The sequence below is a fragment of the Homo sapiens genome, chromosome 15, assembly GCF_000001405.40.
Source record: "Homo sapiens chromosome 15, GRCh38.p14 Primary Assembly".
Taxonomy (NCBI): Eukaryota; Metazoa; Chordata; class Mammalia; order Primates; family Hominidae; genus Homo; species Homo sapiens.
In genome coordinates this window covers 85,108,864-85,128,385 of record NC_000015.10, presented here as the reverse complement: position 1 = coordinate 85,128,385, position 19,522 = coordinate 85,108,864, and the positions used below count along the sequence as shown (strand labels likewise).

Genomic DNA, 19,522 nt, shown 5'->3' with positions numbered 1-19,522 from the left:
CACGTGCCACCACCACAGGCAACTAATTAAAAAAATTTTTTTTTCTAGTGATGCGGTCTCATTATCTTGCTGAGGCTGGTCTTGAACTCCTGGACTCAAGTAATCCTCCCACCTTGGCCTCCCAAAGTGCTGAGATGACATGTATAAGCCACTGCACCTGGCTGGTTGTTGCTTTCTGCATCTAAGAAATCTTTGTCCACTTTCAAGTCATTGAGGATATTCTGGTATGTTTCTCTCTAAAAGCTTTATGGTTTTAGCTGTTGTATGTAGGTCTATGAATTTCTCTATGGTATGAGATAGGAGTTGTGGTTCTTTTTTTTTTTTTTTTTTTTTGCATAGGAATATCCAATTATCCTAACACCACTTACTGCAAAAATTTCACATTAGCCACTGATCATATAAATGTGATCTGTTTCTTGGATTTCTATTCTGTCCCATGGTTGTACTTGTTATCTTTATGCCAGCACCACACTTTCTTGATTATTTTAAGTTTTGAAGCCAAACAGGGCATATCTTCCAACTTTTTAAAGTTTGCTTTGCTTATTCAAGGTCCTTCTCATTTTCATATATAATTTAGAAACAGTCTGTAGACTTCCACAGAAAAAAAACCTGCTGAAATTTTTGAATTGAAACACCAATTTGGGTAGAAGTGAATGTTAACACTGAGCCTTCCAGTATGTGAACATGATATGCCTCACCATTTATTCAAGTGTTCATTAAAATTTTCAGCAATGTTTTATGGTTTTCACTGTAAAGTTCTGGTCATCTCTTATTAAATTTTTTCCTAATTTTAATTTTTAAATTTTATTTCCTACTGTAAATGGGACTGGGCTTTTGGTTTCATTTTCCAATTGTTGGTTGCTAGTACATAAAATACAACTCACTTTTGTATATTGAGCTGTGTCCTATGACATTGGTAAATCAAATCCACTTATTAGTGCTAATAATTGTTTGTATATTCCTTAGAATTTTCTGCATAAAATCATGTCATCTGCAAACAGAAGCAAATGTATGTCTTACTTTTTGTTCTTTAAACCTCTCTCTCCTTTGTCTATTGCAATGATGAGGAACACCAATACAAGGTTGAACAGAAGAGGTAAGAATGGGCACCCTTACCTTGTTTCCAATCTTAAGAATGTATTCAATATCTCATGCCATTAAATATAATGTTAGCTGTATGTTTTCTTTGAGACAGGGTCTCACTTTGTCGCTCAGGTTGGAGTGCAGTGACATGATCATGGCTCACTGCAGCCTCAACCTCCTGGGCTTCAAGCGATCCTCCTGCCTCAGCCTCCCAAGTAGCTTGGGACTACAGGAGTGCATCACTATGCCCGGCTAACTTTTAATTTTTTTGTAGAGACAAGGTCTCACCATGTTGCCCAGGCTGCTCTTAAGACTCCTGGGCTCAAGTGATCCTCCCAAAGCTAACAGCACTTTAAAGATGTTCCCGTGTCTTCTGGCCTTCATAGTTTTTGATGGGAAGTCAGAGGACATGAGAATCACTGTTTTCTTATAAGTAATGTGTCGCTTTTCCTCTGGCTGATTGCAAGATTTATCTTTAGCCTGTTAGCTGCTTGACTATGACACATCTGACATGGGCTAAGGTTCACTGGGCTTCTTGAATCTGTATGCATATGCATGTGCATATGCCCTCCACCAAATCTGGAAAAATCTTAGCCAGTATATTTCCTAATATTTTTTTCTGCCCCAAGAGAGGTTTTTTCTACTCAGAAAGAATATGAAGACCAGATGACTCCTTAAAAGTACTTTCAGGAAAAAAATCATCAACCCAGGATGCTATATCTAACAAAAATATCCTGCAAGAATAAAGGGAAAATAAAATATTCTTAAGAAAAAAAAAATTTGTTACCAGTTACCATTTGTTACCTTGCAAAACAAGGACAGAATTTTTTTAGAACCCTATTTCCTAGTGTTAAGTCCATTATCTCGTATGATTTTATGGGTTTTAACTCTCTCTCTCTCTAGAAACTTAAAAGAGGCAGCAACTTACCTGAGAAAAATATTCTTCCGAAATGCGTGCAGCCCACTCGATGCAGTACTGCAGGGGTCGGCAGGGATTGGACACATCAGCACATTTAATCAGCATTCGTTTGATTAGGGTCCGGTTCTCTGGAGTCCTAAGCATAGTGTTTATCACTTCCTGGTTTTTATCAGTTTCCTGAAACATGAGTGGAATTCAAAGCAATCAAAATGGATCCCTTGGTGCCAAGCCCTCTCTTACTGGTCTGTCCCACTGTAAGCATAAAAAGAGCACTAGTCAGGATCTATAAGGATCTCACAAAACAGTGCCAAGGATACTGTGAGCATTGAGCTTGGCCTCTCATTTTACCCAGGAGAAAACCGAGGCTCAGTGAGATTGCAACAGGACCTAGAAGTGGAGGGTAGCACTAGGGGTTGGTATATCTGCCCTTCCCCTTTTCCTTGCCTCTTTCTTCTCTTCCTCTCACTAAATCTTTCTCACAGTTGCCTTTTTTTCTGTTCCACTCTCTCTCTCCCCCTTGGTAAGAACTCAAAGACTGGTTTTGTCTTTTATTATATTTATTAAAAAAGAGTATGAGCTGAAAAAAATAAATTTCTCTGCCCTCACAACAAATGGGCTCTTGCAGCCCAACAGCCTCCGTACTTCTCAACCCAGTCCTGTGATAGGGCAGATTCCCAAGATAACACCTAACATATTTGATGGATAAAGGACTTAACAGTCATTCTCTGTTGATCTGCACTCACAAGAAGATCTAATGGTAAGCATGAAAAGTATTATTTATTACATTTTACAAATGAGGACACTGAGACTCAGGGAGGTGAAGTGACTTGTCCAAAGCAACCAGCCGAGCCAGGATAAGAACTTCAGTTCTGCCTTTAGTCCCAGCATGCCTTCCACTCACAGTACCACATGCTGTCTGCATCCAAGGATCCCCACTGGATATGGATCAATTTATGATGTAATAGAACCACTATTTGTAGGCTCTCTGAAGAGAATTCAGGTTAGAGGGTATTGGGGCAGAGAGCAATGAAAAAGACTAAAGGCAAGCAGGTCTCCTCAGTCTGATTCTGTGCCCATCAAGCAACATTCCAAAGGAGTTAGTCATATATTTCAATATGCAATAGCAGTAGCCTAAGAAGCCCTGATGGTCCCAGCTCAGAGGGAACAGACTGCCATCAAGATGGACGGGTGGCATCCTGACTCTAGGCTTCCCACACTTCCTGGAGAGTGCCAAAATGAATACTACACCGGTGACACTTCAGTAGCTCTCCTCACTCCAGGTTTCCACTGTGACCAGCTCTGTGCTGACCCTTCTTTCTTCAGATCCGTTAATACCTGCAGTGTGACTATAGTTTCATACTGCCAGCCTGGAAACTATTCTCTTTCATCTTCCTTTCTCCTGCTCTGACCCACTGGATATTGATTTTCAGTCTCTCAGAAGTAACCCCATGTACCGACAACAGAGATGAGAACCATAATGTTAAGTGGAGCAGAGAACTCAGCTCTAGGGGCTGTCCAGACTAGACAGAGGAAACCAAGTCTGCTGGGTGTATGGTTTCCTTCTGTGGCATGAGGTCAGCCAGGAGTGGTGGCCAGGTGACAATGAGCCCTATCCAGAATGGCAGGGCAGGAGCCAATAAAACAGGCTGGTACAGGCACCTCTGTTAAAAGTCTTTGGAAAGAGAGTGAAGTCAGGGGCAGGCTGACAAATTGAGAGAACAGGAAAGGGTGAAGAAACAGTTCTCAACATCAGGTTAAACCAAAGTAAGTGTCATGGGGTAATATGCTAGAAAACCAGGGGGCAGACAAAGGCCATGGCCAAACAAATGAATTGCAGAAGTAAAATGGAGTTAGAAGTCAAGGAATTATGATCCTAGCCTGCGAGGATAAGTCATCCCTGTGTGTGGCAAATATCTCAGGATGGTGATAGGAGCTGGGGAGGAGGGTGGGAGAGAAGACTGTGAGCTGCTGCCAACATGTTCAGTAAATGTGGGCCTCAAAGGAAGAGGTTCATGAAAGAACATATTCTTTAAGTTGCTGATGACACAATGAATCTAGTATAATAGGCACCAGTTCTTAAGTGCCTACCATGTACCATGCTCATCAGTCCTATGCCTTGAGACTTCTTATCCCCATTCTACAGATAAGCAAATGATGGGAACTTGGGCCTGTATGCTTCCTCAGCTGGAGACTCCTGCCTGGTGAGAGGGTTAATGTTATCCTTGCCCAGCAGTTGTTGTGGACTCCATGCCTCAAATGTAGAAACAGGGGCAACAATAATGTCACCCTTGTGACACAAATACAGTGTCTTTCTCAATCCACATGCTCCTCTAAGTGAGGACCAAGAGAGGATAGCTGCTGCTACCATGATATGTGCCCAGTGGGAGTGGCTAGAAAGATATATCAAGGGCTCCAACTGATCACAGAATGGAGAAGAAGGGAGGGGGATATTAGTGAGGAAGGGTGCAGGAATAGTCTGTCTAAAGTTAGCTTATCTAAAATCTGACCTTCCTTTCGAGTTTTCCCATCTAGTTGGATGTGCTAATTTTTTTCCTGCCAAGTTTTTGCACTTTAAATAATTTTTTAACCAATAAAAACTAAATTCAGTGAGCCCACTGTGATGGTTAATACTGAGTGTCAACTTGATTGGATTGAAGAATACAAAGTATTGATCCTGGGTGTTTCTGTGAGAGTGTTGCCAAAAGAGATTAACATTTGAGTCAGTGGGCTGGGGAAGGCAGATCCACCCTTAATCTGGTGGGCACAATCAAATCAATTGCCATCAAATATAAAGCAGGCAGAAAAACATGAAAAGGAGAGATGGACCTAGCCTCCCAGCCTACATTTCTCCCATGCTGGATGCTCTCTGCCCTTGAACATCAGACTCCAAGTTCTCCAGTTTTGGGACTCAGACTGGCTCTCCTTGCTCCTCAGCTTGCAGACAGCCTATTGTGGGACCTTGTGATCGTGTAAGTTATTACTTAATAAACTCCCCTTTGTGTGTGTGTGTGTGTGTGTGTGTGTGTGTGTGTGTGTGTGTGTGTGTATCCCATTAGTTCTGTCCCTGTAAGAGTCTAATAGACTCACTGAGGGAACCCTTCTGTGGCTGATATCATAGCCCATGTGTCTCCATAACACAACAGTACAAGGACCCCAAACACAGGTTCTCTTTGCAATAAGTTTCCCTTACCCCATTTTCTTCTAGTGTTGCCAAGGGTTTGTTGATGCTGTTGACAAATTTGTTGACATGCTCAAAGTGCTTTGTCATTTCTGTGGCTAAGACCATGTCGATAATCCCCTGGCGCAGTGTCCGATAATCATTCCTGTTTTCGATGACAAATTAGAGGCTGCTACAAATTACTGATCCAGACCAGACAGGTACTCCTGAAAACAATCTGTTATCCAGGTATGTGTCCTCTGCAGCTATAAATCTAATGCCACTGAAAGCCACAAGGCACATTTTAAAAAGACATGGAAGTTAGGGGTTAGTGCCTAGATCGTTAGCAAGGAGAACCTCAAAAGAAGTTAAAACCAAAAGCTATAGGCAAAACTTATAGTTGCAGTGTTTATCTTGTCAATGAAGATAGAAATCTGTGGTTAGAAAGAATATACCCCACATGGAGGTGTCTTGAGGCCCAACCATTTTAGTGCCCATAGAATGTGAGGACCGATCTTCTGAAAGCTGCGAAATCATAGGGAGTACTTGATACCTCCACCTCTAACCCTTGCTTTTATTTTAGTACTTTAAAAAATTCATTTCTTGAAGGGGTAATCCATGTAATTCAAAATTTGAAGGGGTATGAATATGAAACAAAGTCTCTATTCAATCCCTTTTCTGCAGTTGAGTAGAAAACTTTCTCTGGAAAGTTAATAGGGTCTCATGTAGTTTTCCATTGATAACTGATGTAACTATAAGCAAATATGAATAGAAACTACTTTAACTCCACCTCTGAAATCCTAGAACATGGCAGAAAGGAGTTTTACAAAATCAAAAATCCTCTTCTTTAAAAATCCATATTAATAAGTATTCTTCATGACACAATGTTTTTTCTTTCTTCAACTGATATTCACTAAGTTCCTAGTATGTACCAAGCACTGTGGCACTGAGGACACAGTGACATATGACCCTTGTGACCTTACAGAGCTTAAGAATCTAATCAGACATTACACAAATCATTAAAAATAATTATTAAATAAGAAATGTGATACGTGCTACGAAGAAATCTGGGATTGAATAATTAGAGGGTTAAACTTAGCATGAGAGATCAGGGAAGGCTTCCCCAAGGAAGTGACATGTAAACAGAGACAATGCCAAGGAGATGTATGCTGAGCACAGGAGGGCAGAGTGGAGTGCTTCAGGGAGAGAGATAGATGACTGCTTCTTTGAGTCTCTAAGAGCTCAAGATATCAGCATTATACTTCACCTTGAAACATCCAGACACAAAGCGGCTGAATCTTAAAAACATTGTGCTAAGTGAAAAAAGCTAGTTACAAAAGATCACATATTGTGTATGATTCCATTTACATAAAATGTCCAGAAATGGCAAATCTATAGAGACAGAAAGTAGATCACAGTAGTTGTCTAGGACTAGGGGAGTTGAGGGGGAATGGAAAGGAACTGCTCATAAATTTGAGGTTCTATCGAAGGGGTAATATTCTAAAATTGAATATACTATGAGTTGCACAACTCTATGAATATACTAAAACCACTATGAATATACTAAAAACCACTGTACATGTTATTATTATTTTGAGACAGGGTCTCGCTCTAGTATGTACCAAGCACTGTGGCACTGAGGGCACCGAGGGCACAGTGACATATGACCCTTGTGACCTTACAGAGCTTAAGAATCTAATCAGACATTACGCAAATAATTAAAAAGTAATTATTAAATAAGAAATGTGATACGTGCTATGAAGAAATCTGGGATTGAATAATTAGAGGGTTTAACTTAGCATGAGAGATCAGGGAAGGCTCTGTTGCTCAAGCTGGAGTGCAGTGGTGTGATCACGGTTCACTGCAGCCGCAGCCTCAGCCTCCTGGGCTCAAGCAATCCTCCCACCTTAGCCTCCCGAGTAGCTGGGACTACAGACACAACCACCGAGCCTGGCTAATTTTTTTTTTCCTTTTGTAGAGACAGGGTCTCCCTACGTTGCCCAGGCTGGTCTCAAACTCCTGGGCTCAAGTGATTTCTCCTGTCTCAGCCTCCCAAAGTGCTGGGATTATAGGCATGAGCCACTATGTCCGGCCCACTGTATACTTTGTGCACTTTAAATGGGTGAACTGTATAAGATGTGAATTATATCTCAATATAGCTGTTTAAAAAAGAAAGAGAGGGATCAACACACTTCCCAATCATTGTTCTTACCTCTCCATGTTTTTAAATATATTGCATTTATCATCTCCAGTGGTCAGCTGGAAGGCCAAGGCCGCATGGTGGCTCTCCAGCACAGCAGTGTCATTGTACAAAATGGCCAGCTCACTTCCAGCATTACACAGGAAGGAGTTGGTTCTCCCAGGGTGATCCACATCATGAATGGTGGCTGCGATGAGTGCAGCGACCTCATCAATTGGATCTAAAGTTTCCTGAAAACAAGAGAGCTTTTAAAAACTGGGGTATGACACTGAAGGCAAGGAAGCCTTCTGTATAGTTTTCTTTCTCCCCTATTACTTTCAGGTAAGAATATTTCAGATTTCTAAGAAAAGCATACTACGTGAGCAAATCTAGTTTTCCTATCTCCACCCTGAAACAGTTATATTTCTGCATATTTGTTAGTCTCACACAAGTTAAGGACTTACCAAAATACAGGTGTTCTCAACAGATAGGAGTCACCTCCTCAGCCAGTCTTTCTCTAGACCCATCACCAAAAAAGTCCTTAGTCTGAGATATTGACTTAGACCAGCATAAACTAATATTAATAAAGGAGAGAAACAATTTTAAATAAAATTTAAAATAGGCACCACTTACATTAACTGGGAATTGATTTAGTTTTCTTCCCCCTTTTAGTGCTATCTTTGTCAGGTTGATGTCAGAGTTTTGTGAGTTTGACAAAATGATCTGGAAGTTTTCCATCTTTTTCAAGACTCTGAAAAGTTTTATGTAACATGGAAAAATTCCTTAAAGGGCTAAAGAATTCACCTGTCCATCTGGGTCAGGAGCCAACTTTTGAAGAAATTAAATAATAATTTAAAAATTACTAAAATTACTTCCATGTTATTGGCCTCTTTTGTTTTTTTTTTTTGTTTTTTTACTTCTTACATCAATTTAATTTAAAACATTCCATTAAAACTATTTTAAAGCTTTTGATTTAGTACATATGTGTGCAGTACTTCTATTTTCTGCTGTAAATTTGTATATTTTTGTGTCTTTATATCTTAACTAGTTTGGCTAGAACTTCACCTATTTTCTTGGTTATTTCCAAGAGCCACACTGGATTATCATTTTGCTTTTCCCATGTTTTTTTTCTTCCCTTTTAAAAGTAATTAAGGCATTTAAAACATAAACCTTTAACTATATAATTGGCTTCATTCTATAGGTTTTGACAGATAAGCTTCTCATTTTTGTTATTTTCTAACTAATGTCATTTTTGGTTTTATTTCTTTGTTGATTCCCAAATTATTCAGAATATTTTCTCATTTGTTGTAGCTGATATTTTAAATTTAACCATTAGTTATTCTATTTTGTTGTGTTGTGGTTAGAAAATATAGCCTATGAAGTTTAGAAGTTCAACACATTATGTCCCAGTATAAGATCATTTTTGGAAATACCCTACAGACTCTTGAGATGTATAGCTAATAAATCAGCCTTGCAAATTTATTTAAATTGATTTAAATTAAAATTCAATAATTTAAATTTTAAGTGCGCAAATAGTATGGTATGTGAATTACATTTCAATAAATGTTTTTTTTTTTTTGAGACGAGAGTCTTGCTCTGTCACCCAGGCTGCAATGCAATAGCATGATCTTGGCTCACTGCAACCTCCACCTCCTGGGTTCAAGTGATTCTCCTGCCTCAGCCTCTCAAGTAGCTGGATTATAGGCCTGCACCACCATGCCCAGCTAATTTTTCTATTTTTAGTAGAGATGGTGTTTCACCATGTTGGCTAGGCTGGTCTCGAATTCCTGATCCATCTGCCTTGGTATCCCAAAGTACTGGGATTACAGGTGTGAGCCACCATGACATTTCAATAAATGCTCTAATAAACTGTTTTCAGTTAGCTCTCTAAATATATATTTGTATGTTGTCTATAGAGTAGTTTAAAAGCAATACAGCAAAAATTGGGTTCTTTATATGCTGAGCCATATTGACACAGATGTCCCTCTGTTGTTACTTGTTTTCATAATTTAGAAAACAGTCCCCTTCTCTGGACACCCTATTTTACCTACAGTCTGATTTGATTTTTTCTGGAAAAAAACAAAAAACAAAAACAGAAATAAGAACCAGAGGGAGCACGGAAAGTTCTGAGAAGGTTTACCCTTCAAGGTGAGGAATGAACACTTGTTCACTCCCTGTGTGTGCCAGATGTCATCTTCTGCTTTGCTCTCTGCCAAATGCTAGTCCCGTGATACAGAGGAGGAAATGCAGCCAGGAGCCACTTGCCCTGGCCCTGCATGACTGCAGTCATCTTAGGCCCCAGTCAAGGGAGCAACAGGTCAAGGGCAGAAGCTTCAGAAACTAAAGTGGTTTGGCATGGCCCAAAAGTGGCCTGTGACTGGGACAAAGGAGAAGAAATGATGAGAGGAGCTCATTGTTGAGGTGAGTGTGGAGAGCTGTAGAGTTTAAAGTTTAAATCCTGAGGGAGGTGGGAAGCTGCTCCTGGGAATGACAATATCAGGTATGCTGTTTCAGAAAGATCACATTGGCAGTAGGGTAAGGGCATTCCATGGGAGGCAGGGCAGGCAAGAATTCTAGTTTGGAACTGCCCAGATGCGAAAGGATTGCGGGGGGCCTCACTGGGACAGCAGCAGGAGATGAATCTGAGAACATTTAGGTGTGACAGGAGGCAAGGTCAGATGATCAACCAGATGTGGGGGGTTGAGGAGTGGAAAGAACCAAGGATGACTCTCGGTTTCTAATCTGGGTATCCGGTTGGATAATGGAACCCTGGATTAGGTAGATAACCCTGGGTGGGAGCAGTGCTGGGAACAGAGATGATGAACCTGACCTTAGAGCCCTGCAGACTTTCATGTACAGATGGAGGCCCTAAAGTGGGGATATCCAACAGTTACTTGGCTCTACTAGTGTACAGGCTTGGAGTGAGACCCCCAGAAGAATAGCCCTATCCTGTCCTTGTTAGGTTTCTCCTCCGGGACCAAATTCTGCCTCTTGTACCCTCATGGAATAGCTGGGATTATGTCATGAATTAACACATCAATTTCCCAAAGCTAATGTGGCCTCCTGCCTGATTCCTCGTATGACCTTGCCCTTCCTGTGCCAGGCTGCACACGTGAGCAGTCATGCTATGTATCTTAGTGGAGGCAGAAGCACTAGACTCTCCCCACTGCTCCTGCCCATTAAATGTGGCAGGTAAACAACAGCTCACCTTTATCCTCTCCTTGGAGAGAAAATAGGCAGTGGCATGAAGCACATCAGCAGAATGTGTAGAATTGTGGTAGGGATTGGAGGAATGATAATTGGCTTCGATAATTTGTAACCATGATCTTAGCGTTGACTCGGAGCAGTGTAAGAATTCACAGATTCCAAAGCGAGCAAACATTTTGAGACCAAGATAAATCAAAGGCCTATAGACAGAAAAAACCCCACAATATTAGAACAAAGCAAACAAACAGGCCAAGTGTTTAAGGCCTGAATAGGTTCCAAGCCAAATTTCAGAGAGTGCAGGGCAGCAAAGTGGAGATTGCTTGGGCTGTGCTGGCCTCTCTCTGGTGGGGCCAACCAACTCTGGTTCCACTTCTTGCCCTCAGGGGACCATGATGCACGGGTGAGAGCTGGCTGCCCACAGCAGCTCTGACCTCAGCCTCGTTGGGGCTCCCGATTTGTTGGGGGGAGTTTGCTCATTCTGTCCTTCCAGGTTCAGCTTCCTACTTGCACTAGTGGGTTCCTCAAAATAACCCTTTCTCCAGGCTAAGCTTGTACCACCTTGAACACTATCCTCTCCTTTGGACTTGCTGGACCCATGCCATTGGCCAGACATCCTGCCTATAAGAAAACATTTCCTGAAAATGTCATATAAGCCAGACACTGCCGTATGCAATGGAATTTTCTCAACACCCACCTTTCTGGAGGTGGGCGTTAAAAGTATGAGGGGATTTCCCCTGAGGTTTCCAGCTGGCCACCAAGTTAGGTTCTTACTTGAGAAATCACCTTGACCCAGCATCTGGCCCTTGCCTGTGAAGGCCAAGAAACTGGCTGTGTTGAGGCAGTATCCAGAAGTGATCACAGGACTTAAACTGACCTGCCTTAGCCCAATTCACATGGATGTAATGTCACTAGCATGTAAACCAGATGCTCAAAGACTCATGTGCCCAGGGAGTATTCTTTTCAACTCTCCTTGGCTGTGCTGGGAGATAGGGAAGTAGAACGTATCAGAAGGTTAACTCAAGGGGAGCCTGAAAAAGTCAGGGAGTTATCTTGGGGACAGGTCACCCAGACTGAGATGAGACCTGAGGAGCCATCCCATGGCCCAACCGAGCACACCTCTGCCTAGACACCCTAGTGGGCAGTCCTGGCTGGAATCAGCTCTGTGGACCTCCCTTTCTTGTGTGCCCAGCCAACTACCACCTTTGGTTAACAGCTCTTCTCCCGCAAGGGAAAAAACTCAAGGCAAAACCCCATTCCTGCTCCCACTCTCTGTGATCACACCCAGATGAGGATGACTGGGGCTTTGGGTGTCCCTATGCCTATCACCAACAGAACAACCAAAAGCTGGGAGCAGCTCTTATCACATGTGTATGTGTTTCTAATAAATTTTGGTTCTAGGCTCTGAGCAGATCTCTTACAGCAATCTTAACATATTACCACCTACAGGAGAAATACCTTTATTTCACAGAAAAAAGTCCTGTGCTACTTGGAGAAGTCACTGGCTCAGTTGCATGCTTTCCATGAATGTGCCATCACTGTGGCCAGCAGACTCTCCCCCAGGCCCTGGTGACTCAGAGCCACCTGGTGCCCTGTTACTCCTTCCTTAGGGCCCCACCCTGACCAGGTACCAGGCTTGTGCACAATCCATACTCCTCAGGTAGCCTCCTCACACAGGCCCTGGGAATCTAGTTCTCCCGCTGCTGAGCTCTGCATGAACTCACCTATTGTGGGTGGCAGCCTCCAGTTCAAAAATATCAAAGTCCCAGTATTCCTCATTTTCCATGGCCCGAGCTATCCGTGGTGGGACATCATCAAGGGAGATGGGAGTGATTATATTGCTTGAAACCATTTGAGTGTCTGTAAAGTGATGTAATTTGGAGAACAAATAGGCTTTAAAGGATTAACTTTTTTTTTTTTTTTTGAGACGGAATCTCACTCTGTTGCCCAGGCTGGAGTGTTGTGGTACAGTCTCAGCTCACTGCAACCTCCGCCTCCCGGGTTCAAGTGATTCTCCTGCCTCAGCCTCCTGAGTAGTGGGATTACAGGCACCTGCCACCATGCCTGGCTAATTTTTTGTATTTTCAGTAGAGACAGGATTTTGCCATGTTGGCCAGGCTGGTCTTGAACTCCTGACCTTGTGATCTGCCCATCTCGGCGGTGTGAGCCACCGCTCCCGGCCAGGATTAACTGTTTCTTAGGGAGGACAGTACCGCCTCAGGGACAGCTGCTTTGTTTCTGAGGCTTTATGACATACCAAGAAACTTCTTAATGAGGTGAAAAATTATTTTCATCACTTAAGCTAGACTGCAGTATTATAGACAGTGATCTAAGAAATTAAAAAGGAAAAACTTACTTTTTGTTGAAAGAACATATTCATTCCCTGATAGTCTTCGCAAACCATCCTGATAAAAATCAAGGAAACAAGAAAAAGAAAAGTCACAACTATTCTTTCCTTCCTGGAAACTCCAGGTGGTCCTCCCACAGGACAACTCAGGGCAGCCCTCTCCACCAATGCACTCAAGGCTGCCCTGGGCCCAGCAGGTCCACCCCTGTGATTGACCACTGACCTCAGTCACTTACTGGAGAGCACAACAGGCTAATGCTGGGAAGGATGGTCCTGGCCCTGTTGGAAGCTAAACTCAGGAGCAAGGTCAACACCCGGGAGGTGAGCCTGCATCTTTTGAGGGGTGGGTGGTCTTTAAGCCCAGCATTCTTGCTTGCACTCCAGGACCATTTGGTTTCTTAGGGACAACTGTGCTCTGCCCTCAGTCCTTCTCCTCCATTTTCGTGCAACCCTCCTCACTCTGAGGACACGAGGCTTTCCTGGAAACATTAGCTCCTCTCTCACCTCATAAGTGACCTCATTCCCCACAGTTGACTCTCCTGGGCTCCTCACCACTGCTTCCAGACCACCTGGCCCAAACCCGTACTCTCAGCAGCCCCTTTTCTCCAGTCCTGTGGCTATTCTCATCTGCTCGCCTCCAGGACACTATCCTACCCCCATCCCTCATCATTTTCACCTCTTACCTGCAGTCTGGAGGAGACCCTGTCTCAAATAGGCAAGACCACAGTGAGATATTATCAGCATTGTAAACACTCTACCTTCTAGATTTCTGCCTGGAACCTTATTTTTATAAAATCCAGTGACTTCAGAAAGCAGTAATTGGGAGGGAGGTGGATTTTGCTTCTGACCAAGACAAAAGCTGACAGAGAGCAATGGAATAATCTGTGCTGCACAAAGTTGTCCCTCTCTTGTGAGAGCTCTACACCAGACATGCTGAAGGAGGCATCCAGGACCCCTCAAGAGTCTATGACACAAAGCCCCCTTCTAGTGAAAGATTCCCAAATCCCTCTTTCCTACAGTCATCTAAATGTGTGTGGGATGCTTTGAAGGCCAAACTGTTGCACCCCCGGCACCATTTTAAATACATATGGCGGGAGAAAGACAATCTTTCTGTTCTACACTGTCCCAGTTTTGAAGATCTTTAATACAACTAAACAAGCTTTATTTAGATAAACTACTGTAGAAGCCCTAAGCAACACTGGAGAACTGGTGCTCAGCAGACTGTCAGGATTACATTCCTCCCTGCTCTGCTCCAAGCTAAGCTCTCCCTAGGAGGCAGGCAGCAGGTGGGTGCTTGGCCAGAGAATAGCAGAACCCAGGCAATGGAGGAGAGTTTAGGTCTTGACTGAACCCTACAGAGCCCTGCCTGCCTCTTCAATATCTGTTTAAGTGAATAACCTCTGAGAAAACAACCAAGAACAGACAGGCTCTAGCCAAGAGTCTAGTCAAATATACTTACAGACATTAAGCCCCCAACAAGGTCATTGGCATGGGGATCATCATCTTTAGCACCAAACTGTGGTGAATATAACTCAGTGGTTCTTAGAATTTCCAGCACACGGTCTAGGGCTTCTGTCACAGGCATGGGACTACTTTCCTGGGCAGCATTGATAATATTGATTACCTACATTATGGAAAGAAAATACTTGAGTTTCATAACCTTAAAAACAGTGGGAGAGCCAGGCATGGCAGTACGTGTCTGTAATTCCAGCTACTCAGGAGGCTGAGGTGGGAGAATTACTTGAGCCCAGGAGTTTGAGACTAGCCTGGGCAACAGAAATGAGAGAGCACATCTCTAAAAAACAAATAACAGCAAAAACAAAACAAAACCCAACAGGACTCAGTCTGGCCATAGTACTTAATACTAACTTAAGACTAGTTAAAATGCCCATGTCACACATCCTCTCTCTTCAGAGGAGGCTACTAGCACCACACAACTATGACAGCATGCTCATTACTGCGGGTCCCTGTTTCTTCTCATTGGAAATGATCCTTGGGGAGAACAAGGAGTATGTGTGCTCAATGGAGACAGACCACAAACTGCTTCACCTTGGTGATGGGCGCCTCAATTGTCATGGAATGTATCCGGGCCATGGAAGAGTGTCGTCTCTGGCTGGAAACTGTGGAGAAAGGGATGCACAAATCAGGGCATGCACAACTCTGGGCACCTGTCTTGACAGCAGAGGGCTCAGTGTGCTCGGCTGCATGATGAAGGGGCAGGATAGAACTGAGTTTGCTGAGCTTCCTTCCCATCCTAACAAGCCTGGGGTTCTGGCATAACCAATTCTGTTTCCTTCAGTTCTAGGCACTAGAATGCACATATGCCCCCATGGACTGAACTTCTGATGTCACAGGCCAGAGAGAAAACAGAGGAAACAATCTAGCAAGCCCAAGTCAAACAGCCTCTTTTTGTGTCTATGACAATAAGCCTTTATAATTACTTAGCTTGCCATTCTCTAGGAGTAAAAATGTTCCGGAAGACAATGCCACACAATGCTCTTTGTTTCATATATGGCAGGAGCAATACATTCAACTCACCAATAACTGAAATACACAAATTTCTGGTTAAATTTTTCAAGGTACCCTCTGGTGCTTCCCACTGTTATGTTTAATCTGGACTGATTAGGTAAATATCTTCAATGAGGCAGGCAGCAATTCTTAGGCTCTAAAGTTTGTTAATTTCTGTTGTTCCTGTCAAGATATGGTTCCTTTGGGGTGAGGAGAAGCCCAGGCAATATAGGCAGAAAAAACGTTAACATCCAGTCCTGGGTATCTCCACGAACAATCCTATCAGGCTAAATGCTGCTTCCCAAAGACGTTACAGGACCAGGGGCTGTCCCAGAGACTGATGTGTCAACCTCATTTTACCAATGAAGAAACTGAGGCCCAAGGAGAGACACCGTCCAAAGTTAACCAATTCAGGGGGTCTCAAATGTTTTAAATTTGGGGGCCCAACTAAACTTCTTAAAATTTTGGTGATTATAGGATTGCCAACTTTCCATTTTACCCAACAAGGTCATTAAACCAAAAATAAAAACTCCTATTTTATCACTGTCATAAAAGGACTTGTTTTCATTTAAAAATAATTGATATATGCTTGTAACAAACAACAGAGATCTATTGTACAACATGGTAACTACAATTAATAACAAGGTATTCTTGAAAATTGCTAAAGGTAGATTTTAAGTGTTCTCACCACAAAAAAATGAAAGTGTATGAGGTAATACACGTTAATTAGCCTGATTTAGTCATTTCACAATGTACAGATAGGTCAAAACATCATATACATGATAAATACACATAATTCTTGTCAATTAAAAATAAAGGAATTAGAAAAAAATCAAACAGAGCAATAAGGTAAGAAAAAAAGTATAAAGATTGTCATGACTGTGTATACAGAAAGCCCAGAAGAATCTATAAATGCACTCCTCTTCTTTTACAGTGAGTAAGTTTACCCAAGCTCCTAGATATACAAAGTCAATATACAAAAATCAGTTGTATTTCTATAACTATATACAATAAGCAATTGGAAATTTAAACAAGTAACACCACTACAATAGCATAAAAAACCATCAATACCTAAGAATAAATCTAATTAAAGATTTGTATGATTTCTACAACAAAAATGTAAAACACTGCTGAGAGAAAACAAAGACAGCCTAAATAAATGGAGACATAGCATGTTCATGATTTGAAAGACTCACCATTATTGAGATTTCAATTTTCCCTGAAGTGATCTACAGATTTAAGGCACTCTGAAAACAAATCCCAGGAGGATGTGTGTATAAACTAAGAAGCTCATTCTAAGCGTCACATGGAAATGCAAAGGACCTAGAACGGCCAAGGCACTGAAGAAGAACAGCTACCTACTACCAGGTATCAGATATCAACACTTACTATATAAGTAACTGATTGTGATATTGGTACAAGCGTAAACAAACAGAACAGTGGAACAGAATAGAGTCCAGGAACAGATCACATATTCGTAGTAAGCTGATTTATAATAATGGTGCTACTGCAAAAGATGGTTATTCAATATGGTGATAGACGAGTTGGATTTCCCTAGGGTCAGGGGCAGTCATCCTTGATCTCTACCCTCACCAGATATAAATAATTTTAAATGGATCAAAGACCTAAAACAAAAGATAAAACAATAAAACTCCTAGAAGAAAACAAGGGAGAATATTTTCACGATCTTGGGATAAAGAACGATTTCTTAAATAGGACATAAAAAGCGCAAGTAATAATAGAAAACCTGATAAAATAAATTTCCTTAAGAACCTCTGCTCTTTGATTAAGAATCAAAAGATATGATTTAGAGGGGAGAAGGCAAACAACAGACTAAAAAAATATATTTGTGATACACAGATAACCCATATCTAGACAATATACAGAATCCCTACAAACCAACAAGATATACAACCCAATTATAAAAATGGGCAAAAGACCTGAATGACACTTCAGAAGAGGATTATCCAAATGACCAATAAAAAGGTGCTCAACTTCAGTCATAAGGAAAATTAAAATTAAAACCACTGGAGTGGCTAACATTTTAAATTCTGGTATTACCAAGTGTGGGAAAACATGGAACAACTGGAACTCTCACAGATGAGTGAGGAGAGTAACATGGTGCCATATGTTGGAGCTATTATTGGAGAATAAAACTGGAGAGCACCATTTGCAGCTGCTCTAAGGCCTAGCAATCCCACTTCTAGGGAGAAGATGAGCATATACATCCACAAAAAATGACCTGCATAAAAATGTTCATGGCATTCTTATTCTTAGCAGCCTCAAAATGGAAACAAGAAGAAGATGTGCACACAAATTGTGGTATATTCCTGTAACGGAATACTACTGAGCAATAAGGAAGGAACTATGACATACCTAACAACATGGAAGAACCTCGAAAACATGAAAGTGCAAGAAGCTAGACACAAACAAGCCATACTGTACGATTCCAATTCTATGAGGCACAAGGAGAGGCCGAATTAATTTACGGTGCTAGCCATCAATGGTTGCTTCTGCATGGTTAATAATGTGTTTGTGTGTGTGGATTTTCTATATCTATTTTGGGTGGTGACTACATGAGCATACAGAATTGTCAAAACTCACTGAAATGAAACTTAAGTGAATTTCATTGTATATAAATTATAACTCAAAAATCATAAAAAGTTATAAGAAAAAGATGTTTATTAAAACACAGAAATATACCAAGGAATCCAAAGGATCAACAAACATTAGCATGTGGTGAGTGAAGACTGTTCTGGGCAGGGACCTCAGCCCTGCTCTGTGCTGCTCCAGGACTGCAGAGGGTCTGGGACTGTAATCACGACAGCTACAATGAAGATGACGATGGCAGCTAACACTAACTGAGTCCCTACCCTTACTTACCAGGCACCATACACACTCATTGAATCCTCACACAATCCTCTGCAGACAGCAAATTATCCCCACTTTACAGATAAGGCAATGGAAACACAGAAGTCCACCCTCAAGGCTACACAGAGAGTAGATGAAGCTGGGACTTGGACTGAGGTCATTCTGACACCAAAGCTTACAGTCTTCCCATAACCCCATACCGCTTCCTCACTGGCACCACCCCAATCCTGCCCTCAAAGCAGGGGTGTAATCTGTATGGTCTTTCCAGTGCAAGGAGTACACAGCATGTCATCTGGGCCTTACCACAAATCTGTGAGGGATGAGAGGGTAGCATTTGATCCCTACTGTATAATCTTAGCTGATATCACCTTGGAAAAGTTTGTCTTTTGAACCAGTACAACCAGCTCTGTATCCTTCTGTATTCATTTTTGGGCCAAAGAATGTATACAGCTAGCAGCAATACCTGCCTCCACACTCTGTATAAACAATGTTGACTACATTTCAAAAACTAAGTCATTCAGACCATGCACTTACATATTCTTTTTAAAAAGTATATTTCAATTAGAACTTAAATATTTGCTGAATAAGGGTCTTTCACAATTCCAAAATCGAGCTCACCTCTCTCTAAAAGTTTCCATGGCAAACTGCAAACCACGATGGGATAGATCTTTAAGAATTATCAAATTCAAACAATTATAGCAGATGAACTGACATCTTCTGCTGTTACAGTTTAGAAAAGCAACTATAGAATATATGGGAAATGTATCTTCTTCCTTTTCTTTATTTTCTGATTCCATTAAAAGGCTCAGAATGGAGCCCATTGGCAGGAGTCCACAGAGAGGGAGAAAGGGAACACTAGTTTCCAGAGGGTTCCCTCCTCTCCCAAGAATTGGAGGTAGACAGGATGAGCCTGGGCAAGGCAGGGCAGGGCTCCATGTGTTCAACAGTGATTTGATCACATTTTTTTCTCTTGTCTTTGTCACTCACCTTCAGTTGCACGGGAGGCAACAGCTTTGACGTCTAGTGAGCCTTTTCTCCTGTCTTTATGTTTGCCTGTCTGATTATCTGTAGAAACAAATGATAAATCACCTCTTCAAAGATATTTAAACAACATATTAAGGAAGGTTACCAATCTAAAATTTTTTTAAAACTCTCAACTTTAAATGTTTTAAATGCCACAAAAGTAAACACAGTACAGAGATGAAGACTATGAGAAACCAGTTTTATGGGGGTAGAGTTTCTCAAAATGTCCCA

General features: G+C 41.7%; 1 protein-coding gene across 12 annotated transcripts in view, besides 3 other annotated features; it reads right to left on the bottom strand.

Annotated features, from left to right (window-relative positions):
- Positions 1 to 19,522, bottom strand: part of PDE8A (phosphodiesterase 8A) — a 158,676-nt gene that overhangs the window by 10,757 nt on the left and 128,397 nt on the right. For 9 of the 12 annotated variants that reach the window (NM_001243137.2, XM_047432657.1, NM_002605.3 and 6 more), the window contains 9 exons: positions 19,256 to 19,333; positions 14,939 to 15,009; positions 14,349 to 14,513; positions 12,899 to 12,947; positions 12,267 to 12,402; positions 10,547 to 10,745; positions 7,372 to 7,589; positions 5,193 to 5,325; positions 2,012 to 2,179 (listed from right to left, as the gene is read on the bottom strand). In NM_001243137.2, the coding sequence (NP_001230066.1) occupies positions 2,012 to 2,179; positions 5,193 to 5,325; positions 7,372 to 7,589; positions 10,547 to 10,745; positions 12,267 to 12,402; positions 12,899 to 12,947; positions 14,349 to 14,513; positions 14,939 to 15,009; positions 19,256 to 19,333 (1,217 nt within the window). The other 3 variants (XR_007064457.1, XM_017022310.3, XM_047432661.1) reach the window with 3 other exon arrangements.
- Positions 2,806 to 3,356: an enhancer, noted in NCBI's record as "OCT4-NANOG hESC enhancer chr15:85668261-85668811 (GRCh37/hg19 assembly coordinates)". NCBI's record gives its function as "activates a minimal SCP1, AML or CMV promoter by ChIP-STARR-seq in naive H9 embryonic stem cells {active_cell/tissue: H9 hESC(naive)}" and the evidence as "EXISTENCE:reporter gene assay evidence [ECO:0000049][PMID:30033119]".
- Positions 10,027 to 10,196: an enhancer, noted in NCBI's record as "experimental_42025 CRE fragment used in MPRA reporter constructs". NCBI's record gives its function as "activates a minimal promoter by MPRAs in K562 erythroleukemia cells, with activity observed for both the introgressed and non-introgressed 15:85661506 or rs10520585 variant alleles {active_cell/tissue: K562}" and the evidence as "EXISTENCE:reporter gene assay evidence [ECO:0000049][PMID:34662402]".
- Position 10,111: a transcriptional cis regulatory region, noted in NCBI's record as "Neanderthal adaptively introgressed variant 15:85661506 (GRCh37/hg19 assembly coordinates) or rs10520585 in the experimental_42025 CRE". NCBI's record gives its function as "modulates activity of the experimental_42025 enhancer by MPRAs in K562 erythroleukemia cells {active_cell/tissue: K562}" and the evidence as "EXISTENCE:reporter gene assay evidence [ECO:0000049][PMID:34662402]".